This window comes from Homo sapiens, chromosome 4, assembly GCF_000001405.40.
Source record: "Homo sapiens chromosome 4, GRCh38.p14 Primary Assembly".
NCBI lineage: Eukaryota > Metazoa > Chordata > Mammalia > Primates > Hominidae > Homo > Homo sapiens.
The window spans coordinates 187,952,714-187,972,131 of NC_000004.12; the positions used below are offsets into that span (position 1 = coordinate 187,952,714).

Below are 19,418 nucleotides of genomic sequence, written 5' to 3' on the forward strand. Positions count from 1 at the left end.
TTAACGTCTAGATTTTTTTAAGTTAAAATAACCTCCTTGAGCACCCAGTTACACTTTCTTTCCTTCCATATCTTCTTTCGATTCCACTTCCCTGACCATATGTGAGCACTGTTTGTGCTTTCCAAACATTTTCCTAGACATCAGCACACACACACACACACACACACACACACACAGTTCAAATATAAAATGCTGCTTTTTCCAAAAATGTGATCATATCCTATTAAATGACCTGCCTTTTTTCCACTTATCTGTGAAAACTTTTTATGTCAATACATATATATATGCATTATATATATGCATTTTATACACACACACACACACACACACACACATATATATCTGCCTCGGTCTTTTTAATTGCTGTGGTGTATTACATATCATGTGTACCATAATTTTTTTTTTGAGATAGAGTCTCGCTCTGTCACCCAAGCTGGAGTGCAGTGGCATGATCTCAGCTCATTGCAGCCTCTTCCTCAAGTTCAAGTGATTCTCCTGCCTCAGCCTCCCAAGTAGCTGGGATTACAGGCTTCTGCCACCATGCCCAGCTAATTTTTATTTTTAGTAGAGATGGGGTTTCGCCACGCCGGCCAGGCTGGTCTCGAACTCTTGACCTCAAGTGATCTGCCTGCCTCGGCCTCCCAAAGTGCTGGGATTACAGGAGTGAGCCACCGCCCCCAGCCTTCAGACAGTATATATTTTTGTTAAATCCAATTCTTCACTGTTAAAGAATACTATTTTACATTAATCTTTGTATATACATGTGACTATAATGAATATCCTTTGTACATAATATGTGCTCTTTCTCCCTACTCATACGTAAAATTACTGGGTGAAAGGTTACATTATATTTAAATCTGACATATACTTGCAAATGCCCCACCAAAAAAGCCCTGAAATTTGAATTCCCACTATCAGTTTTTGAAAGTTCCTATTCTCTTACCTCTTCCTCCATGCTGAATATTATCAGTCTTTTTCATTTGTCCTCATCTCATGAATAAAAATTACATTTGTCTTAATTTAATCTGCCTTATTAACTAGTTTTATGTGATACTAAGTATAATTTTCTGTCATTACATGTTTTCTATCAGATTTGTTATCTTTTATTGATCTTTATGTGCTTGATATTATCATAGAGATTAATGCTGTATTGTAAATAATTTTCCCATGATTTTTCATTGTACTTTTTCATGTGGGTTTTTGACATAGATGCTTTAGATTTTTATATAGACATATCTGTCATTTTTTTCTTTATGAATTCTTAGCCTATGTTTAGCATAGATTTTTCCAATGTTGAGATTAAAAATATTTTCTATTCTCATGAAATTTCCTTTAACATTGTTATAATTTTGTAATCTATTTTTATCTCTATAATTCATCTGTAGTTTTTCTGGTTTGAGGTGGGAATCTACCCTTAATTTTTTGTTTGTGTCAATTGATAACCAGTAGTCTCAATCATAACCTTTCCTTATTGACTTGAAATATAATGCGTAACAGCTGCCAAAATGTATAGGTCTATACCAATTTTCTTCTAGACTTTCTATTGTCTTCCTTTCATTTATTTATTAATTTTTGTACCAATGCTGCAGTATTTTAATTATGTTTGTCTTGCAGCATATTCTAATCTCTGGTAGGACCTTTCCTTTTACTATTTAATTTTTTTACTTTTACCTCCCACCTCAACGTCCTGAGTAGCTGAGACTACAGGCATATGCCACAACACCTGGCTAGTTTTGTTTGTTTGTTTCGAGCTCCTGTAAAAATAATAACTATTATTTATTGGAAAATCTCTACACCTCAGGGACTATGTGAAGCATTTTTACATGAACTATTTTATTTAATCCTCATAATGGCCCTCTGAGAAAGTGTAATGAGTTGAATGATGGCCACTCAGAGGATATGTCCATGTCCTAACTGCTAGAACCTGTGGACGTGACTTTTGTTGGGAAAAGAGTCTGATGATGCAATTAAGGATTTCAAGATCATATCATCCTGGATTATCCAGGTGGATCTTAAATCCAATGACAGTTGTCCTTATAAGAGAAAGTCAGAAGGAGATTTGATGCAGAGGTGATTGTGTATTTAGAAACCCCATCGTCTCAACCCAAAATCTCCTTAAGCTGATAAGCAACTTCAGCAAAGTCTCAGGATACAAAATCAATGTGCAAAAATCACAAGCATTCCTATACACCAATAACAGACAGGGAGCCAAATCATGAGTAAACTCCCATTCACAATCGCTATAAAGAGAATAAAATACCTAGGAATCCAACTTACAAGGGATGTGAAGGACTTCTTCAAGGAGCACTACAAACCACTGCTCAACGAAATAAAAGAGGACACAAACAAATAGAAGAACATTCCATGCTCTTGGATAGGAAGACTCAATATCGTGAAAATGGCCATAGTGCCCAAGGTAATTTATAGATTCAATGCCATCCCCATCAAGCTACCAATGACTTTCTTCACAGAATTGAAAAAAACTACTTTAAAGTTCATACGGAACCAAAAAAGAGCCCACATTGCCAAGACAATCCTAAGCCAAAAGAACAAAGCTGGAGGCATCACGCTACCTGACTTCAAACTATGCTACAAGGCTACAGTAACCAAAACAGCCTGGTACTGGTACCAAAACAGAGAGATAGACCAATGGAACAGAACAGAGGCCTCAGAAATAACACCACACATCTACAACCATCTGATCTTTGACAAACCTGACAAAAACAAGAAATGGGGAAAGGATTCCTTATTTAATAAATGGTGCTGGGAAAACTGGCTAGCCATATGTAGAAAGCTGAAACTGGATCCCTTCCTTACAGCTTATACAAAAATTATTTCAAGATGGAGTAAAGACTTAAATGTTAGACCTAAAACCATAAAAACCCTAGAAGAAAACCTAGGCAATACCACTCAGGACATAGGCATGGCAAGGACTTCATGTCTAAAACACCAAAAGCCAAAATCGACAAATGGGATCTAATTAAACTAAAGAGCTTCTGCACAGCAAAAGAAACTACCATCAGAGTGAGCAGGCAGCCTACAGAATGGGAGAAAATTTTTACAATCTACCCATCAGACAAAGGACTAATATCCAGAATCTAAAAAGAACTTAAACAAATTTACAAGAAAAAATCAACCCCATCAACAAGTAGGCAAAGGATATGAACAGACACTTCGCAAAAGAAGACATTTATGCAGCCAACAGACATATGAAAAAATGCTCACCATCACTGGCCATCAGAGAAATGCAAATCAAAACCACAATGAGATACCATCTCACACCAGTTAGAATGGTGATCATTAAAAAGTCAGGAAACCACAGGTGCTGGAGAGGATGTGGAGAAATAGGAACACTTTTACACTGTTGGTGGGACTGTAAACTAGTACAACCATTGTGGAAGACAGTGTGGCGAATCCTCAAGGATCTAGAACTAGAAATAGCATTTGACCCAGCCATCCCATTACTGGGTATATACCCAAAGGATTATAAATCATGCTGCTATAAAGACACATGCACACGTATGTTTATTGCGGCACTATTCACAATAGCAAAGACTTGGAACCAACCCAAATGTCCAACAATGATAGACTGGATTAAGAAAATGTGACACATATACACCATGGAATACTATGCAGCCATGAAAAAGGATGAGGTCATGTCCTTTGTAGGGACATGGATGAAACTGGAAACCATCATTCTGAGCAAACTATTGCAAGGACAGAAAACCAAACACCGCATGTTCTCACTCATAGGTGGGAATTGAACAATGAGAACACTTGGACACAGGGTGGGGAACATCACATACCAGGGCCTGTCATGTGGTGGGGGGTGGGGGGAAGGATAGCATTAGGAGATATACCTAATGTAAATGACGAGTTAATGGGTGCAGCACACCAATATGGCACATGTATACATATGTAACAAAGCTGCACGTTGTGCACATGTACCCTAGAACTTAAAGTATAATAATTAAGAAAAGACTTAGAAAAAAAGAAAACGTGCTACATATATGCCATGGAATACTATGCAGCCATAAAAAAAGATGAGTTCATGTCCTTTGCAGGGACATGGATGAAGCTGGAAACCATCATTCTCAGCAAACTATCACAAGGACAGAAAACCAAACATCACATGTTCTTACTCATAGGTGGGAACTGAACAATGAGAACACTTGGACACAGAGTGGGGAACATCAAACACCGGGGCCTGTCGTCGGGTGGAGGGAGAGGAGAGGGATAGCATTAGGAGAAATACCTAATGTAAATGACAAGTTAATGGGTGCAGCAAATCAACATGGCACACGTATACCTATGTAACAAACCTGCACGTTGTGCATATGTACCCTAGAACTTAAAGTATAATAATAATTTTTAAAAATTAAATTAAAAATTTTCTATTCAGTAATATAGACACTAGATAAAAGACACAAACTATCTTTTAATGAATGGCTGGTCTTTGGAAATTGTAAGGGAAAGTTCCAGGGGCCTACAGAAAAAATAGTGAGCTGAAACAAGACAGTGCCTCCAAACTAGAAGACTTCAGGAAGGGTATATGATTTTGTAGTCTGGGCTCAAATAGTTTAAGGTAGAACTTTCTATCCAGGAACTTGTTGGAACTGGACAAACCTTGTGACATGTGTTTCGGGACTGGTGGAGAAAGCAAGGCAAGGTCTTTTAGTATTGATGAACACAATGTTTTGGTGAGAATCAAGCTGTTTTTCCTAATAAGCAAAGGATTTTTTTCTGACAAACAAATTATTTGCCCACATAAATTGATTTGAAATAATTTCCTAAAGCAAGTAGTGAAGTTATTTATTGGTTTGCAGACTTATCTTTCTGGGGAATGAATTTCCCAGAGAAAACGGTAAAGTTTTATTAACAGAGAAAATAAGAAAATTGTTTGCTCTTCCATCACATTTAAAATAATATATATTTAGGCCCAGATGTAGTGCCTAACACCTGTAATCCCAATAGTTTGGGAGGTGAGGAGTTCAAGACCAGTGTGAGCAACATAGTGAGACCCCCATCTCTAAAACAAACAAATAAAAACAAGAATACATATCTAAACTGGTGGGAATAAAAATAATGAGAATACATATCTAAACTGGTGGGATGCAGCCAAAAGCAGACTTTAAAGGCAGACTCATGCACTCAAACGCAGCGACGAGGCCAGGTGCAGTGGCTCACGCCTGTAATCCCAGCACTTTGGAAGGCCAAGGCAGAAGGATTGCTTGAGTCCAGAAGTTCGAGACCAGCCTGGGCAAGAGAGTGAGACCCTGTCTCCACAAAAAAAAATTAAAAAATAAAAATAAAGCTAGCCGGGTATTGTGGCATGTGCCTGTGGTCCCAGCTACTCGGGAGGTTGAGGTGGGAGGATTGCTTGAGCCCACAAGGTTGCGGCTGAAATGAGCCAAGTTTGCACCACTGCACTCCAGCCTCGGTGACAGAGCAAGACCCTGTCTCAAAAGAAGCCAACAAGCCAGGTGTGGTGCTTCACGTCTGTAATCCCAGCACTTTGGGAGGCAAAGGAGGGTGGCTCACTTGAGCTCACATGTTTGAGACCAGCCTGGACAATACCGTGAAACCCCATCTCTACAAAAAATACAAAACTTAGCCAGGCATGGTGGCGTGTGCCTGTAGTTCCAGCTACTCAGGAGGCTGAGGTCAGAGGATGGCTTGAGCCTGGGAGGCAGAAGCTGCAGTGAGCCAAGATGGTGCAAATGCACTCCAGCCTGAGTGACAGAGCCAGACCTTGTCTCAAAAAAAGCAAACACAGGAACAAATACAGAGATGAGAAAAGAATCAGAGACTGTAAGTAAATTACTTTAAATGTCCAAATTTAGAAGTTAAGTGAAGAAGAAGAAATAACCTAAAGAGAGTAAAAGAAAGAAGATAACACTAAAATCAGAAATTAATAAAATATAAAGCCAAGATATAATTAGCAGAGACAGTGGGGCAACACTAATTCCTTGAGAAGACTAATAAAATAAAATTGTTTTTAACTTTATTAATATTAGTAAGGGGGTAGCGAAACAACAAAAAGAAATATAATGTCTGGGTAGTCCCATGACCATTAGGAAATGTGGAATTTTTGAGAAACTTATCACAATGAAAAAATTAGACTCAAAAGGCTTTTTGTTTTGTTTTGTTTTTTGTTTTTTTACTGTGGTAAAATACGTAAGAAAAGTTACCATTTGGCTGGGTGCGGTGGCCGGGTACAGGATCACACCTATAATCCCAGCACTTTGGGAGGCTGAGGCAGGCGGATCATCTGAGGTCAGGAGTTTGAGACCAGCCTGACCAACATGGAGAAACCCTGTCTCTACTAAAAATACAAAATTAGCCGGGCGTGGTGGCACATGCCTGTAATCCCAGCTACTCGGGAGGCTGAGGCAGGAGAATCGCTTGAACCCGGGAAGCAGAGGTTGTAGTGAGCCGAGATTGTGCCATTGCACTCCAGCCTGGGTGACAAGAGCGAAACTCCATCTCAAAAAAGAAAAGTTATAATTGAATCCTTTTTAAGTGTACATTTCTGTGGCATTAGACACATTCGCATTGTTGTGCAAGTATACCACCATCCAGAACTTTTCCAGCTCTCCCAACTGAAACTCTGTACCCATTAAACACCAACTCCCAACCTCCCGTCTCCCAGCCTCTGACAACCCCTATTCTACTCTCTCTATGAATCTCACTACTCTAGGAACTTTTTATGAATGGACTCCTGCAACATCTGTGCTTTTGTGACTGGCCTATTTCACTTAGCATAATGTCTTCAAGGTATATCCATTGTGTTGTGGCATGTCTCAAAATGTTCTTTCCTTTAAAGGGTGAGTGATATTCCATTATCTGTATATTCTATATTTTGTATATCCATGCACCTGTCAGTGGGCACTTGGGCAGCTTTCACCTTTTGGCTATTGTGAATAATGCTATTATGAACATGGGTGTACAAATATTTGTTTGGGTCCCTGCTTTCACTTTTTTTGGATGTATACTCGGAGTGGAATTGCTGGATCATGTGGTTATTCTGTGTTTAACTTTTTAAGGAATGGCCATATAGTTTTCCACAGTAGCTGTACCATCGTACATTCCTACCAACAGTGCACAGGGATTCCAATGTCTCCACTTCCTTTGAACACTTGTTATTTTCTGGGTTTTGATAGTAGCTATCCTAATGGGTATAGAGTGGTATCTCACTGTAGTTTTGATGTGCACTTCCCTAATTTAGTAATGTTGAACATCCTTGCACGTGCCTATTGATTATTTGTGTATCTTCACTGAAGAAATGTCAATGTGTGTTCTTTACCTATTTTTAATTAGGCTGTTTGATATTTGTGTTGTTGAGATGTGGGAGTTCTTTATCTATTCTGTATAGCTATCAATCTCTTATTAGTTATATGACTGACAACGCCCAGAGAGCTTTAAAGGCAAGTTCTACCAACTTTTAATTGCAATCTTACACAAATTAGTTCAAAGAATAAAAAAAATGGTTACCCTGAAACTCATTTTATAAAGGATGTATCCATCAGGGTTTAACCAGAGAAACAAAATGAGTAGGAGATGTACACTTAGAGGTTGATTGCAGGGAACTGACTTACATGATTGTGGGCGCTGGCAAGGCACATCGGAAGTCCACAGCACAGGCCATCAGAAAGAGGAGGGTGGGATTTTAGGGGTGAACTGAAATTGCTGTCCATAGGCAGAATTTATGTTTTCTCAGGGAAGCCTCAGTTCCGCTCCTGAGGTCTTTCAGCTGATTGAATCAGTCTCACCCAGGATAATCTAGAATAGTGAGACAATAAATATTTTACAATAATCTTCTTAAGTAATGTCGACTGATTGTAGAATTCGGTCACAGCCACAGAATACCTTCACAGCATCACCTGATTTAGTGTTTGATGGAATAACCGGGTACCAGCGACTGGCCAAGTGGATATGTGAAACTGATCATCGCAAAAGTCAAACAACCTATGCAAAGGCCAGAAAATGACAGTTTCAAAAACTAGCAGCCAATTTTAGTCACTAATTCAGATTAGAAATCCCCCCGCAAAACTACACATAACAATAACAAAAAAGGCCGGGCGCAGTGGCTCACGCCTGTAATCCCAGCACTTTGGGAGGCAGAGGCGGGCGGATTGCCTGAGCTCAGGAGTTCGACACCAGCCTGAGCAACATTGTGAAACCCCGTCTCTACTAAAATACACAACAATTAGCCAGGCATGGCGGCATGCGCCTGTGGTCCCAGCTACTCAGGAGGCTGAGGCAGGAAGAATTGCTTGAACCTGGGAGGCGAAGGTTGCGGTGAGCCGAGATCACACCACTGCACTCCAGCCTGGGTGACAGAGCGAGACTCCATCTCCAAAAAAAGAAAAAAAAAAAAAAAAAAAGTAACAAACTAGATCCAGCAATATGTGAAATGGAAAAAAACAAGTCCAAAATATAAATATTTATCTTGTATGAAATTCTAGAACTAAAAAACATTTGACCCCTTATCTCTTTAAATTGTACTTCAAAAAATATATAATAGGGGCTGTCTTTATAATAGAGTAATATGTTTATTGTATCTGTTTTGAAGATATACTCTGAATAATCCCTTGTTCCACAGTTCAAATCTGAGGTAACACTGAAGACAGAAAACAATGGTGACATTATCCCCACTCCCTTAAGGCCAGCCCTGCAATGATCCGGCATTGGAAATGCTGCTGCTTTACTTCACTAAATGATACTTTGTTTTGCAATTTACTGTGAATTACATAGCTTAATCTACGCAATAACAATCCTGAAAAAAGAAATGTTTCTGGTTTATTTCTGGAATTTAAATGAAACTGGTGCTTTTATATTCATATTTGTGTTAATGTTTTCTAGCATCAAAGTACAAATCCATTTATCCTTTTTAATAATACTCATAAACATGAATATCTGAACTAAAACCTTCACCTATAAAATTAGACAAATGGGGGAAAATATTGTAAAAGCAATAATAGTTAAAGAGATATTGAATTTGGCTGGGTGCGGTGGCTGACGCCTGTAATCCCAGCACTTTGAGAGGCCGAGGCGGGTGAATCACAAGGTCAGGAGTTCGAGACCAGCCTGACCAACATGGTGAAACCCCGTCTCTACTAAAAATACAAAAGTTGATTGGGCATGGTGGCGCCTTCCTGTAATCCCAGCTACTCAGGAGGTTGAGGCAGGAGAATTGCTTGAACTGGGACCCGGGAAGCGGAGGTTGCAGTGAGCCAAGATCGCGCCACTGCATCCCAGCCTGGGCTACGGAGCAAAACTTCATCTCAAAAAAAAAAAAAAAAGATATTGAATTTAAATAGGATTTGTCTTCTCAATAACTAAGTTTATTATTGCCAAAGTGGTATTTTAGTTGAAGAATTAGAATAAGAAGAATTCAAACTAAATAGGGCAATAATTGTCTAGAATACTGAAAGAGAAAAGTGCTTATTCAACAAATATTTATGGAATGATTTTTCTTAGTGTTAAGGACAACAGATTACAGACAAATAAGATATAATTCTCTTTTTAAAGATCTCACGAGTCTAATAATAATCTAAAGACCAGCATATAAACATACAATCATATTACTATGTAATAAATGGTATAAAAATATGCACAGGGTGTTATAAAAACATGATCATGTGGGAAGAAGATAAATCAGTAGCAACTCCTGAAGGAAATGATACCAAATCTGTATCTTGAGGAGAAATCACCCGCTAGCTCAGTGGGAAAGTGGGAGACGTTCCACACAAAAGGAACGGTTTGAAAATGAGAGGAAAGTGGACGCTGGAGAAAATTTTCCAAAAACATTTTATCTCTGTAGAATTGGGTATGTGTGGCGTTTTCCAGGCAAAGTGTTTAATCAAATGGATTTTCTGAAGATTGTTAAACTTTCTGTTTATGTTATGCTAACAAAGAATGCAGTTTCCCAACTGTTCCACAATATACTACTTACTGAGAGGGTGTCTCTCCTTATTTCTCTCGTGGAACTAGTACAAGGTTAAACCTACCATTTTCTGTAGTGGGCACCCAGTAAGTTGTCTCACTCCCCTGGGAACTGCACTCCCTTCCCCTCCCATTCTAATGCGGCTCACAGGTGCTACTGTGTTCTTTGAAAACCCAAAACCCTGGCCAGAATTCAAAGACAGCAGTATGGGCAACTGACTGTAGCCGGGCTAATCACAATACTTCAGTCCTTGTCGACTGGATTTGCGATGGGAACTTAGGCTAAACTGTATCAAGAAAGCCCTTTTCCAGATTTGTTTGTTTGGAACCCAAAAAAATCAAGCAAATGCCTTTCTCGTGTCTGAAGCTCTACAGTTTTCCTGTGAGCATAAACACAGCTACATAGAGAGAATGAACTTACAGAGACAGAAACAGAAGAAAAGAATGCCAGGATCAGCTTCATCCCACAAGACGGAAGTCTATTCCAGCAGGAAACATCTGGAGTCTTCCCTTAAACCTCCCTTTTTTAAATGTTGTGAGTTTTCTTTCTTTAGCTTTATTCATTCAACTAGCAAGCAAAACCTCTGAACATCCAGTTTCAAAGGTTTCTGCCAAATGCCCTGGCTGTTTAGCTTTTCTTTCCCTTCCCTCATTCTGTCTAGCTACAATCCTCTTGACAAACAGAGAAGAAAGGACTGGGGTCACACGGGAGTAGATGTTCATTTATTACAAGGGTAATAATGAAATGAATGATGAGAATAATTATAACTTACATGCCCATACTCAGAAATGATATGAGCTAAAAAAAAAAAGTGAAATTGTCAGAATATGTTCTGTATGAACAGTTACCCTTCCGGTTCTTGGGGAACTAGCAGTCACCCGGTGACTAGCCTTTGGTTGCTCAGAGAACAATATTGTAATTCTGTAATGAATTCTGTAATTATAATATTGTTCTCTGAGCAAGCAAAGGGGAGACTAAATGTGTATGGTCTCCTTGGAAGCATCTCAACTTCTAATCATTTAAAAATTTTACTTCCTCACTGAGAATGTAACCTGTTTGTTTCCCAGTCTTTCGAAGTGTTAACTGTCTATCTGCTATGAGCCAGTTAATATAATACATGTCAAATTTAATGTGCTAACCTTGTACTCAATATAGGAGAGACAATTAAGGTTCTCCAGCAGCAGTAAGACATTCTCTGAGACAGCAACAGCCCAGTCAATGTCAGCTTTCAAGCTGGTGCTGGCCTGATGCTGGCTAACCACCTGAGAGAAAGCTCGCCAAGGAGAGGTCCACAGTGGGAGGCAGGTCATATCAGATAGCCTATAAGCTTTTCTCCTACTTTCAGATAAAGACTCAAATATTTATTGATTGGCATATATTTTATAAATATATATATAGCTAGAGAGAGAGAGAGAATGTTACTACACAAGGGAACAATTTATCAAAAAGCTGTCCTGAAATCTTCAAATTATGCAAAGGAGCTGGATTAACTTTGCTGGAGCCTAGGATCAATCCCACCCAGGTGACGTGTCCTACACTCAGTGAGAAATTTTTATGATAATCTTGTTTCGATCATTATAATTACTGGAACCTTAATAACAATATTCAAGTAGTATTCATCTCTTATTACAATGCATGACTGGGGTGCTTTAATTGGGGCAAAAAGACTTGAGAATTCTGAACACTGTCTCTGTATTGACGGTTATGTACAGCTTCTTGCATGCCATCTTCCACAATAAATAGACTGGATTTAAAGTTATTTATAATCTCAACTTATAGTTCCTTCATTCTAAGAAGCTAGTAACAATACTTAGCTACTCTAGTTATAACAAAATAACCTTCATGCTGGTCAATTCTATATGCTCTTTTTTCCATCTTTGCTTCCTTTCTATATTATTCAGGACTCCTTAGACAGCGCAGGATAGAAATATACATTAAACCAGTTCAAGCAATAGAATGGAAGTTGGTTGGTTTGCAGGACTAAAAGGAATACTGATGAAGCTCACAAAACTGGAAGAAGCCCTGCCAAAAATCGAGGCTTGGAAGGCAGAGTTCAGTATGGCCAGGAGCTGTTATCTGGTGCATCCACCTCACATCTCTGCTTGGCTTTATGTAGATTGACTTTTTCCAATGACAGGAAAAGCGAGTGCTGGTGACAACAAATTTACAGTCTCCCAGCTAAGCAACACAGAAGAAAGATGCCCGGAAAAGCCCTGGCTGGCCCTGGTTGGCCTGAACGCCCACCCCGTAGGCCGATAATTGAGGTCGGTGGGATGCAGTCATATTCCTCACTAGGCTATTTTGTTGGGGGCAAAATGCTCTGGGGATAAGACTGGGGAAAGATGCATATCGTACAGGGAAACTAGAAGCAATACATGAGGCCAGGTGCAGTGGTGCGTGCCTGTAATCCCAGCACTTCAGGAGGCCAAGGTGGGAGGCTCGCCTGAGCCCAAGAGTTCAAGGCTAGCCTAGCTGGCTGTGGTGGCATGCACCTGTGGTCCCAGCTACTCAAGTAGCTGAGGTGGGAGGATCGCTTGAGCTCTCCAGGTTGAGGCTGCAGTGAGCTGAGATGGCACCTCTGCACTCCAGCCTGGATGGTAGAGTGAGACCCTCTCTCAAAAAAAGGAAGAAAAAGAAAAGAAGCAATGCATGAGGGCAGTTTAAGAGCTATCATCTTGGCCCTATAATACTGCTCAAAATACAATCTTTGTGCACAGAGGTTTGATCCATTGGCTTCTGTGGCTTTATTGCCTCCAACATATCTTTACCATCGTGTCTGCCATTGGATATAGATTGCTGCAATTTTCTGTCCCATCAAAACAAATGCTGGTTTCGCTGCACCCTTTCCACAGAAATGAATATCACTGGAAACTTGAAATGGTGTATGAGAGATTCTACAACCCTTTGCCACTTTCGGCTGCTCATTAGAAATGAAAAGGGGCCTCTTTTATGCAGTACTCTGGCACATCAGGTATAATACCGTGAATGTTCTTCCAGCACGAGTAGCTTAGGACATTAATGCTTAAACACATCATGCTCAGTATCTTGTGGGTAATATTCAAGTTTAATGTAACATCTCATTTGTGGCTGTCTAATTGCATGACATTTTCCATTTCTTTCCTCAGTTAATACTGTGATACAGAGTGTCTTCTTTTTATGGGACAATCTCTCCTCTAAACTCATGAACAATGTGCTTATTGTTTGTGTTAAGATAATGCTTTTCCCTCCCAGCTGTAACATTCCGATTGTTTTATTCTACCTCGGAAGGCCTAAGATGACCTCTTCGCGTGCAGATCTCAGTCCTTCGCTGTCTGCGGACCTGCCTACCCTTTGCTGCCTTATGAGAGACTTGACCTTCAACGCCTCGTTAGCATTATGGGTCTCTAGTCCACCACCAGCATCTAATCCCCAATAGCTTATCTTTGCCATTCTATGACCTAGTAGCTGAACTTTCTCACTGTGGCTGCCCTAACAGAGCTAAACTCTTGACAAACCCATAAAGCAATTGATTTTTTTGTTTGGTTTTGTTTCTTAGTGGTTCTCTGCTTGAAATAAAGACATTTAAGGGTATTCATCTTTCTCTGTCCAAAAGCCTAGCCACTCCGATAATCTCATTTTAAGGCCAGGCACAGTGGCTCATGCCTGTAATCCCAGCACTTTGGGAGACTGAGGTGGGAGAATCACTTGAGGCCAGGATTTTGAGACCAGCCAGGGTAACGTAGCAAGAGTCTGTCTCCAGAAAAATTAAAAATTAGCTGGGCACTGTGGTGCACACCTGAAGTCCCAGCTACCCTGGAGGCTGAGGAGGGAGGATCCCTTGAACCAGGAAGTTGAAGCTACAGTGAGCTATGATGGCACCACTACACTCTAAGCAGAGTGAGACCTTGTCTCTTAAAAAAAGAAAAAATGAAAAAGAAAAAAAAAGAATTTTATTTTAAACACCCTTGTTACAACATATCAACATATTTTTGTATTTTGTGGTTTTTAACCTCCTTTTGTTGCCGCCTACTAATAGATTTAAAAAGTTCTGGTACTGTGATCAAAATTCCTTAGAGAAGAAGAAATAAACCAACGCTGTTTACTTGTAAATCCACTTTGCAAAGGGAGAATGAGAGGATACACTTTAAGGACTTAGAAGAAAAAGGCAATAATTATGTTTGTTTTACATCAGCATTTAAATCAAAATGAAAATGTTGCTTTCATAAAAAATGAAAGCAATAATGTTTTAATTAACGGGAATACCAATTCTTCTAAAAATAAATATTTTTCTGTAATTACTGTTAATTTTTTTTTCTTTAATAACTTTCTTAGCTCAGAAAGGAGCACAGTTATATGCTGGATGGTTTATAAGCACAGCTTTAAAATGTCATGATTTTTTGCAGCACTGTAACCTACAAAAAAAAAAATAATAAATTGTATTGACAAGGTTTTCATGCTTAAACCTACATTTTATTGTACCATTATCCCTGAACAAATTGAGGCACAATATTTCATTAGACTGGACAGATACATTATTGAACATACAAGAGAATATTAAAGGCCATTCAATAGTTTTAGCAAAGAGGATCAGTATTAGGTTTTGTAAGTTTGTGTAAAAGAATACCTTCTATATCATGGCTATATCTTTTATATTAGGTTAGTTTTTTGTTTTGAGACAGTCTTGCTCTGTCACCCAGGCTGGAGTTCAGTGGCGCCATCTCGGTTCACTGCAGCCTCTCCCACCTGGATTCAGGCGATTCTCCCGCCTCAGCCTCCCGAGTAGCTGGGATTACAGGTTCCCACCGTCACATCCAGCTAATTTTTGTATTTTTAGTGGAGATGAGGTTTCACCATGTTGGCCAGGCTCGTCTCGAACTCCTGACCTCAGGTGATTTGCCCACCTTGGCCTCCCGAAGTGCTGAGATTACAGGCGTGAGCCACTGCACCCAGCCTTAGGTTCATTTTTAAAACACCTAAAATGAATTTATTTTAAAGGAATGTATTTTAAAGGTATTTTTTTATAAGGACTTTAATATTTAGAGTCATTATATTTAGAAAAGAAGAGGTTCATACTCATATTTACAAAATACATCTCAGAAATGGATTCTGAGACAGTTCTAACAACTGTTCTATGAAGTTATATATTACTTATTATAATAGATGGCATACAATTTAGTGACAGTAAAATATCTGGGATTGAAATTCCACCCAAACACTCCCCCATTTTCTGCCATTAGAGATGTTCATTTGTCACAGAGAATCTAAAGGTTTATAGGACTTTTATAAGAGGAAAAACTGAATATTTCATGTAAATATTAATCATAACTAACTGGAGTGGCTATATTAGTATCAGACAAAGTAGACTTCAGAATAGGTAATATTACCAGGGATAAAAAGGGACATTACATGATGATAAAAAGGGTCAATTCATCAAGACAAGGTAGCAACCCTAAATATATGTCAACTAATTATAGAGCTTCCAAATAAATAAAGCAAAAATTGATAAAAATGAAAGAAGTCAGCAAATGCAGTTGTTACTGGAGACTTCAGCACTCATCTCAGTAATTGATAGAGCAGACAGAAAATCAGTAAGGATATAGATTTGAATGGCAGTAACTTGACCAACCTGACCTAAGGTGTCTGGGTAGAAGGTTCCACTCAATGTCAAAATACACATACTTTTCAAACGCACATGGAACATGCACCAAGATAGATGAGCAGTGCCTCTCCAACTGTGGTCGGGTATTTAAACCTAAATGTTCAATACTGATATGAAAAGTATTTGTTCACTGGACAACAGCAACCGATGATGGATATCCTTGGATTCCAGTTGTTTCTACCAATCTTGACCTTTACTCCTTTGCTTCCAAGTGGTCTTACAAGTAAAGCAAATCTCAGACATGCTTGGTTGCTCCGACAGATATCTAATAGCAAGTAAGCAGTAAGACAGCCATATAGCCTCTTAACCACTCTCAGTCCTCAGATGCCCTGACAAGCACATCAAACAAAAGGTTCACTCCAAGGCAGATGCAATGATATTTTGTTGATAGGATCAGAAAACTTCCTGAGGTTCAATAGTCATCCATTGAGGGTGGGATCACAGGATTGAAGGGAGCCCGACCCCAAGGGACTACTTGGATGTGGGTCTTAAACAGGTTCTTATAACTCCTTTCTTCAAGGGTAGTAGAGCCTGTAAAACCTCTCTTTCCCATCACATGTCTAGAAGTTTGCTAATTTCACCAATGAAATCATTTTTCCTCTATTCCTTGTGCTAATTCACAATGCCTGTGGTTTAGATTTAGACATCAATATTTGAAGTCTTGCTGAGTCTACCTCTCAAGTGTAGATTGCCAATTGAGGCAGTTCAAATGCTAATCAGCCATCTATAAGGTGTAGATTAAAGTTAATTCACACTGACACATATGCCACACTCTATACTAATTATCAATACATTCCATCAGATGAATCAGCAGTATATAAATCAGTATGCTAAAATATATTAAAATAATTTAAATCAATTTACCAAAAAAAAAAAAAAAATCTCAGAGCAGTCAAACAAATTTATGTTAGCAAAAGGAAATCAGAAATCATGAGATTTTCAACAAACCAACATTGGGGTAAAAAATTTTCTTTTCACATTTTTTTTTTTTACCATTTCTTAATAATTATTCTCTAACTACCACTCTAGTTTTTCTAATAACAAAGAGCAAATTGGCTGTCTGTACGCAATAGAACTTACCTTTTTTTCTTTTATTCTTTTTTTTTTTTTTTTTGAGACAGATTCTCTCTCTGTCGCCCAGACTGGAGTGCAGTGGTACAATCTCGCCTCACTGCAACCTCCACCTCCTGGGTTCAAGCGATCCTCCTGCCTCAGACTCCCAAGCAGCTGGGATTACAGGCTCACACCACCACACCTGGCTAATTTTTGTATTTTTAGTAGAGACAGGGTTTTGTCATGTTGGCCAGGCTGGTCTCGAACTCTTGACCTCAGATGATCTACCAGCCTCGGCCTCCCAAAGTGCTAGGATTACAGGCGTGAGCCACTGCGCCCATCCTAGAGCTCACCTTTTTTTAAAACATGTATTACAATGCTGTGTTTGATAAAGGCAATAAAAATGTTTAAATCAACATTTGTTTGACAGTAGAATTTCAATTATCTTAATTTTAGGAGTATAGGAAAAACATTCTCATTGCACCATGTACAAAAAACATCCTATTAACATAGGACATATTGTTAGATGCAATAGGGTTTTATCAATTTTTTTTTATTTAAATCATGGACGGTTACATCATTAAATTGTATTCACTGGATTGAGGCGTTGAAGAACTTGTAACCTCCCACATCCCAATTTTAACACCTGCTCTTTGCTCTTCATTTTGTGTATGCCAAGGTTAGTTCATCATTCAACTTCCACAGCGACTTATCTATTTATAATGCTTGGCAAATTTTCCAAGGATTTCCTCTAGTGGTACAGTAAAATATGCTATCACAGGCCTAATTTTTCTTTGAAGGCTTCTATTTTATCTTAAAACCCCGTGTGACTTTTGTATGTAAATACACAATGTCTTCTTCGCCAGAACCACCGGGTTGGTTGCCGTCTGAGCTGTGCCTCCTCGTCACCGCCACCGCTATGCCTGGAGGTCGGCTTCTTGGGGACGTGGCTCCCAACTTTGAGGCCAATACCACCGCCGGCCGCGTCCGTTTCCAGGACTTTCTGGGAAACTCACTGGGCATTCTCTTCTCCCACCCTCGGGACTTTACCCCAGTGTGCACCACAGAGCTTGGCAGAGCTGCAAAACTGGCACCGGAATTTGCCAAGAGGAATGTTAAGTTGATTGCCCTTTCTTTTTTCTTTCTTTTTCTTTTTCTTTTTTTGAGACGGAGTCTTGCTCTGTCGCCCAGGCTGGAGTGCAGTGGTGCACTCTTGGCTCACTGCAATCTCGGCTCACTGCAATCTCTGCATCCTGGGTTTAAGCAATTCTCCTGCCTCAGACTCCTGAGTAGCTAGGACTACAGGTGTGCGACACCACGCCCAGCTAATTTTTGTATCTTTAGTAGAGATGGGGTTTCACCATGTTGGTCAGGCTGGTTTTGAACTCCTGACCTCGTGATCTGCCCACCTCAGCCTCCCAAAGTGCTGGGATTACAGGTGTGAGCCACCACACCTAGCGGATTACCCTTTCGATAGACCGTGTTGAGGACCGTCTTGCCTGGAGCAAGGATATCAATGCTTACAATGGTGAAGAATCCACAGAAAAGTTACCTTTTCGCATCATCCATGATAAGAATCGGGACCTTTTCATCCTGTTGGGCATGCTGGATCCAGCGGAGAAGGATGAAAAGGACATGCCTGTGACAGCTCGTGTGGTGTTTGTTATTGGTCCTGATAAGAAGCCGAAGCTGTCTATCATCTACCTGGCTACCACTGGCAGGAACTTTGATGAGATTCTCAGGGTAGTCACCTCTCTCCAGCTGACAGCAGAAAAGAGGGTTGCCACCCCAGTTGATTGGAAGGTGGGGATAGTGTCATGGTCCTTCCAGTGATTCCTGAAGAGGAGGCCAAAAAACTTTTCCTGAAAGGAGTCTTCACCAAGGAGCTCCCATCTGGCAAGAAATACCTCCGCCCCACACCCCAGCCTTAAGTCTCTTGGAGAAGTTGGTGCTGTGAGCCAGAGGACATCCGCTGCCAATCATGTTTTCCTGCTGCAATTCCATGAAAACATCCTGGTGTCATCACACCAAGGTTTTTAGGTTGCTATACTACTGGCTTATTAAATGAAAACTGGCACTAAAAGTTTCTTGGGATTCTTTACACTCTGTCTTCACCAGCATTCAATTCTGTTCATACATCAGCACTCTCTACTGGTTCTCTTTGAAATATGTTCTGTATTTAAAACTCAAATCTTGTTGGATCTCTGCAGGGCTTGTGACCAATGAGGTCATATTTGTTGATGGTTGAGAAAGCTTGCTTCCCTCCATCAGAGAATGACTATCCCTCCATCAGAGAATGACTATCAATTTTTTTAACTGTCCTATTACATCCTGTCTTCAGTCACCCATTTTGAAGAGTGGCAGAACTTGAGGTTCAACTCCTCTGTAAATATCCAAGTATAAAACCCAGGAACTTAGAGTAACCCAGATGTTCTTTAATACTGTTTGGATCATAGCCGGGGGAAAAAAAACTTTTTAATTCTGTACCTTTCTAGTAGATAACTGAAGAACAAGGGAAGAGACCTTTAAATATTTTGCTATAAAAAAATTTTTTTGTGGCCAGGCGCAGTGGCTCACACCTGTAATCCCAGCACTTTGGGAGGCAGAGGGGGGTGGATCACGAGGTCAGGAGATCCAGACCATCCTGGTTAAAACGGTGAAACCCCGTCTCTACTAAAAATACAAAAAATTAGCCGGGCGTGGTGGTGGGCGCCTGTAGTCCCAGCTACTCAGGAGGCTGAGGCAGGCGAATGGTGTGAACCCGGGAGGCGGAGCTTG

The 19,418-nt window shown here is 39.8% G+C and overlaps 1 long non-coding RNA gene and 1 pseudogene across 2 annotated transcripts in view; one reads left to right on the forward strand and one right to left on the reverse strand.

Annotated features, from left to right (window-relative positions):
• LOC124900881 (uncharacterized) overlaps window positions 1-19,418 on the reverse strand; it is a 50,716-nt gene that overhangs the window by 10,550 nt on the left and 20,748 nt on the right. The window contains exons 2-3 of one of the 2 annotated variants that reach the window (XR_007058512.1): window positions 7,884-7,968; window positions 7,599-7,782 (exon numbers count right to left, since the gene is read on the reverse strand). This is a non-coding gene — a long non-coding RNA (uncharacterized LOC124900881). The remainder of the gene's footprint in view (window positions 1-7,598; window positions 7,783-7,883; window positions 7,969-19,418) is intronic. The other variant, XR_007058513.1, reaches the window with a different exon arrangement.
• LOC389249 (peroxiredoxin 6 pseudogene) lies at window positions 17,495-18,767 on the forward strand (annotated as a pseudogene).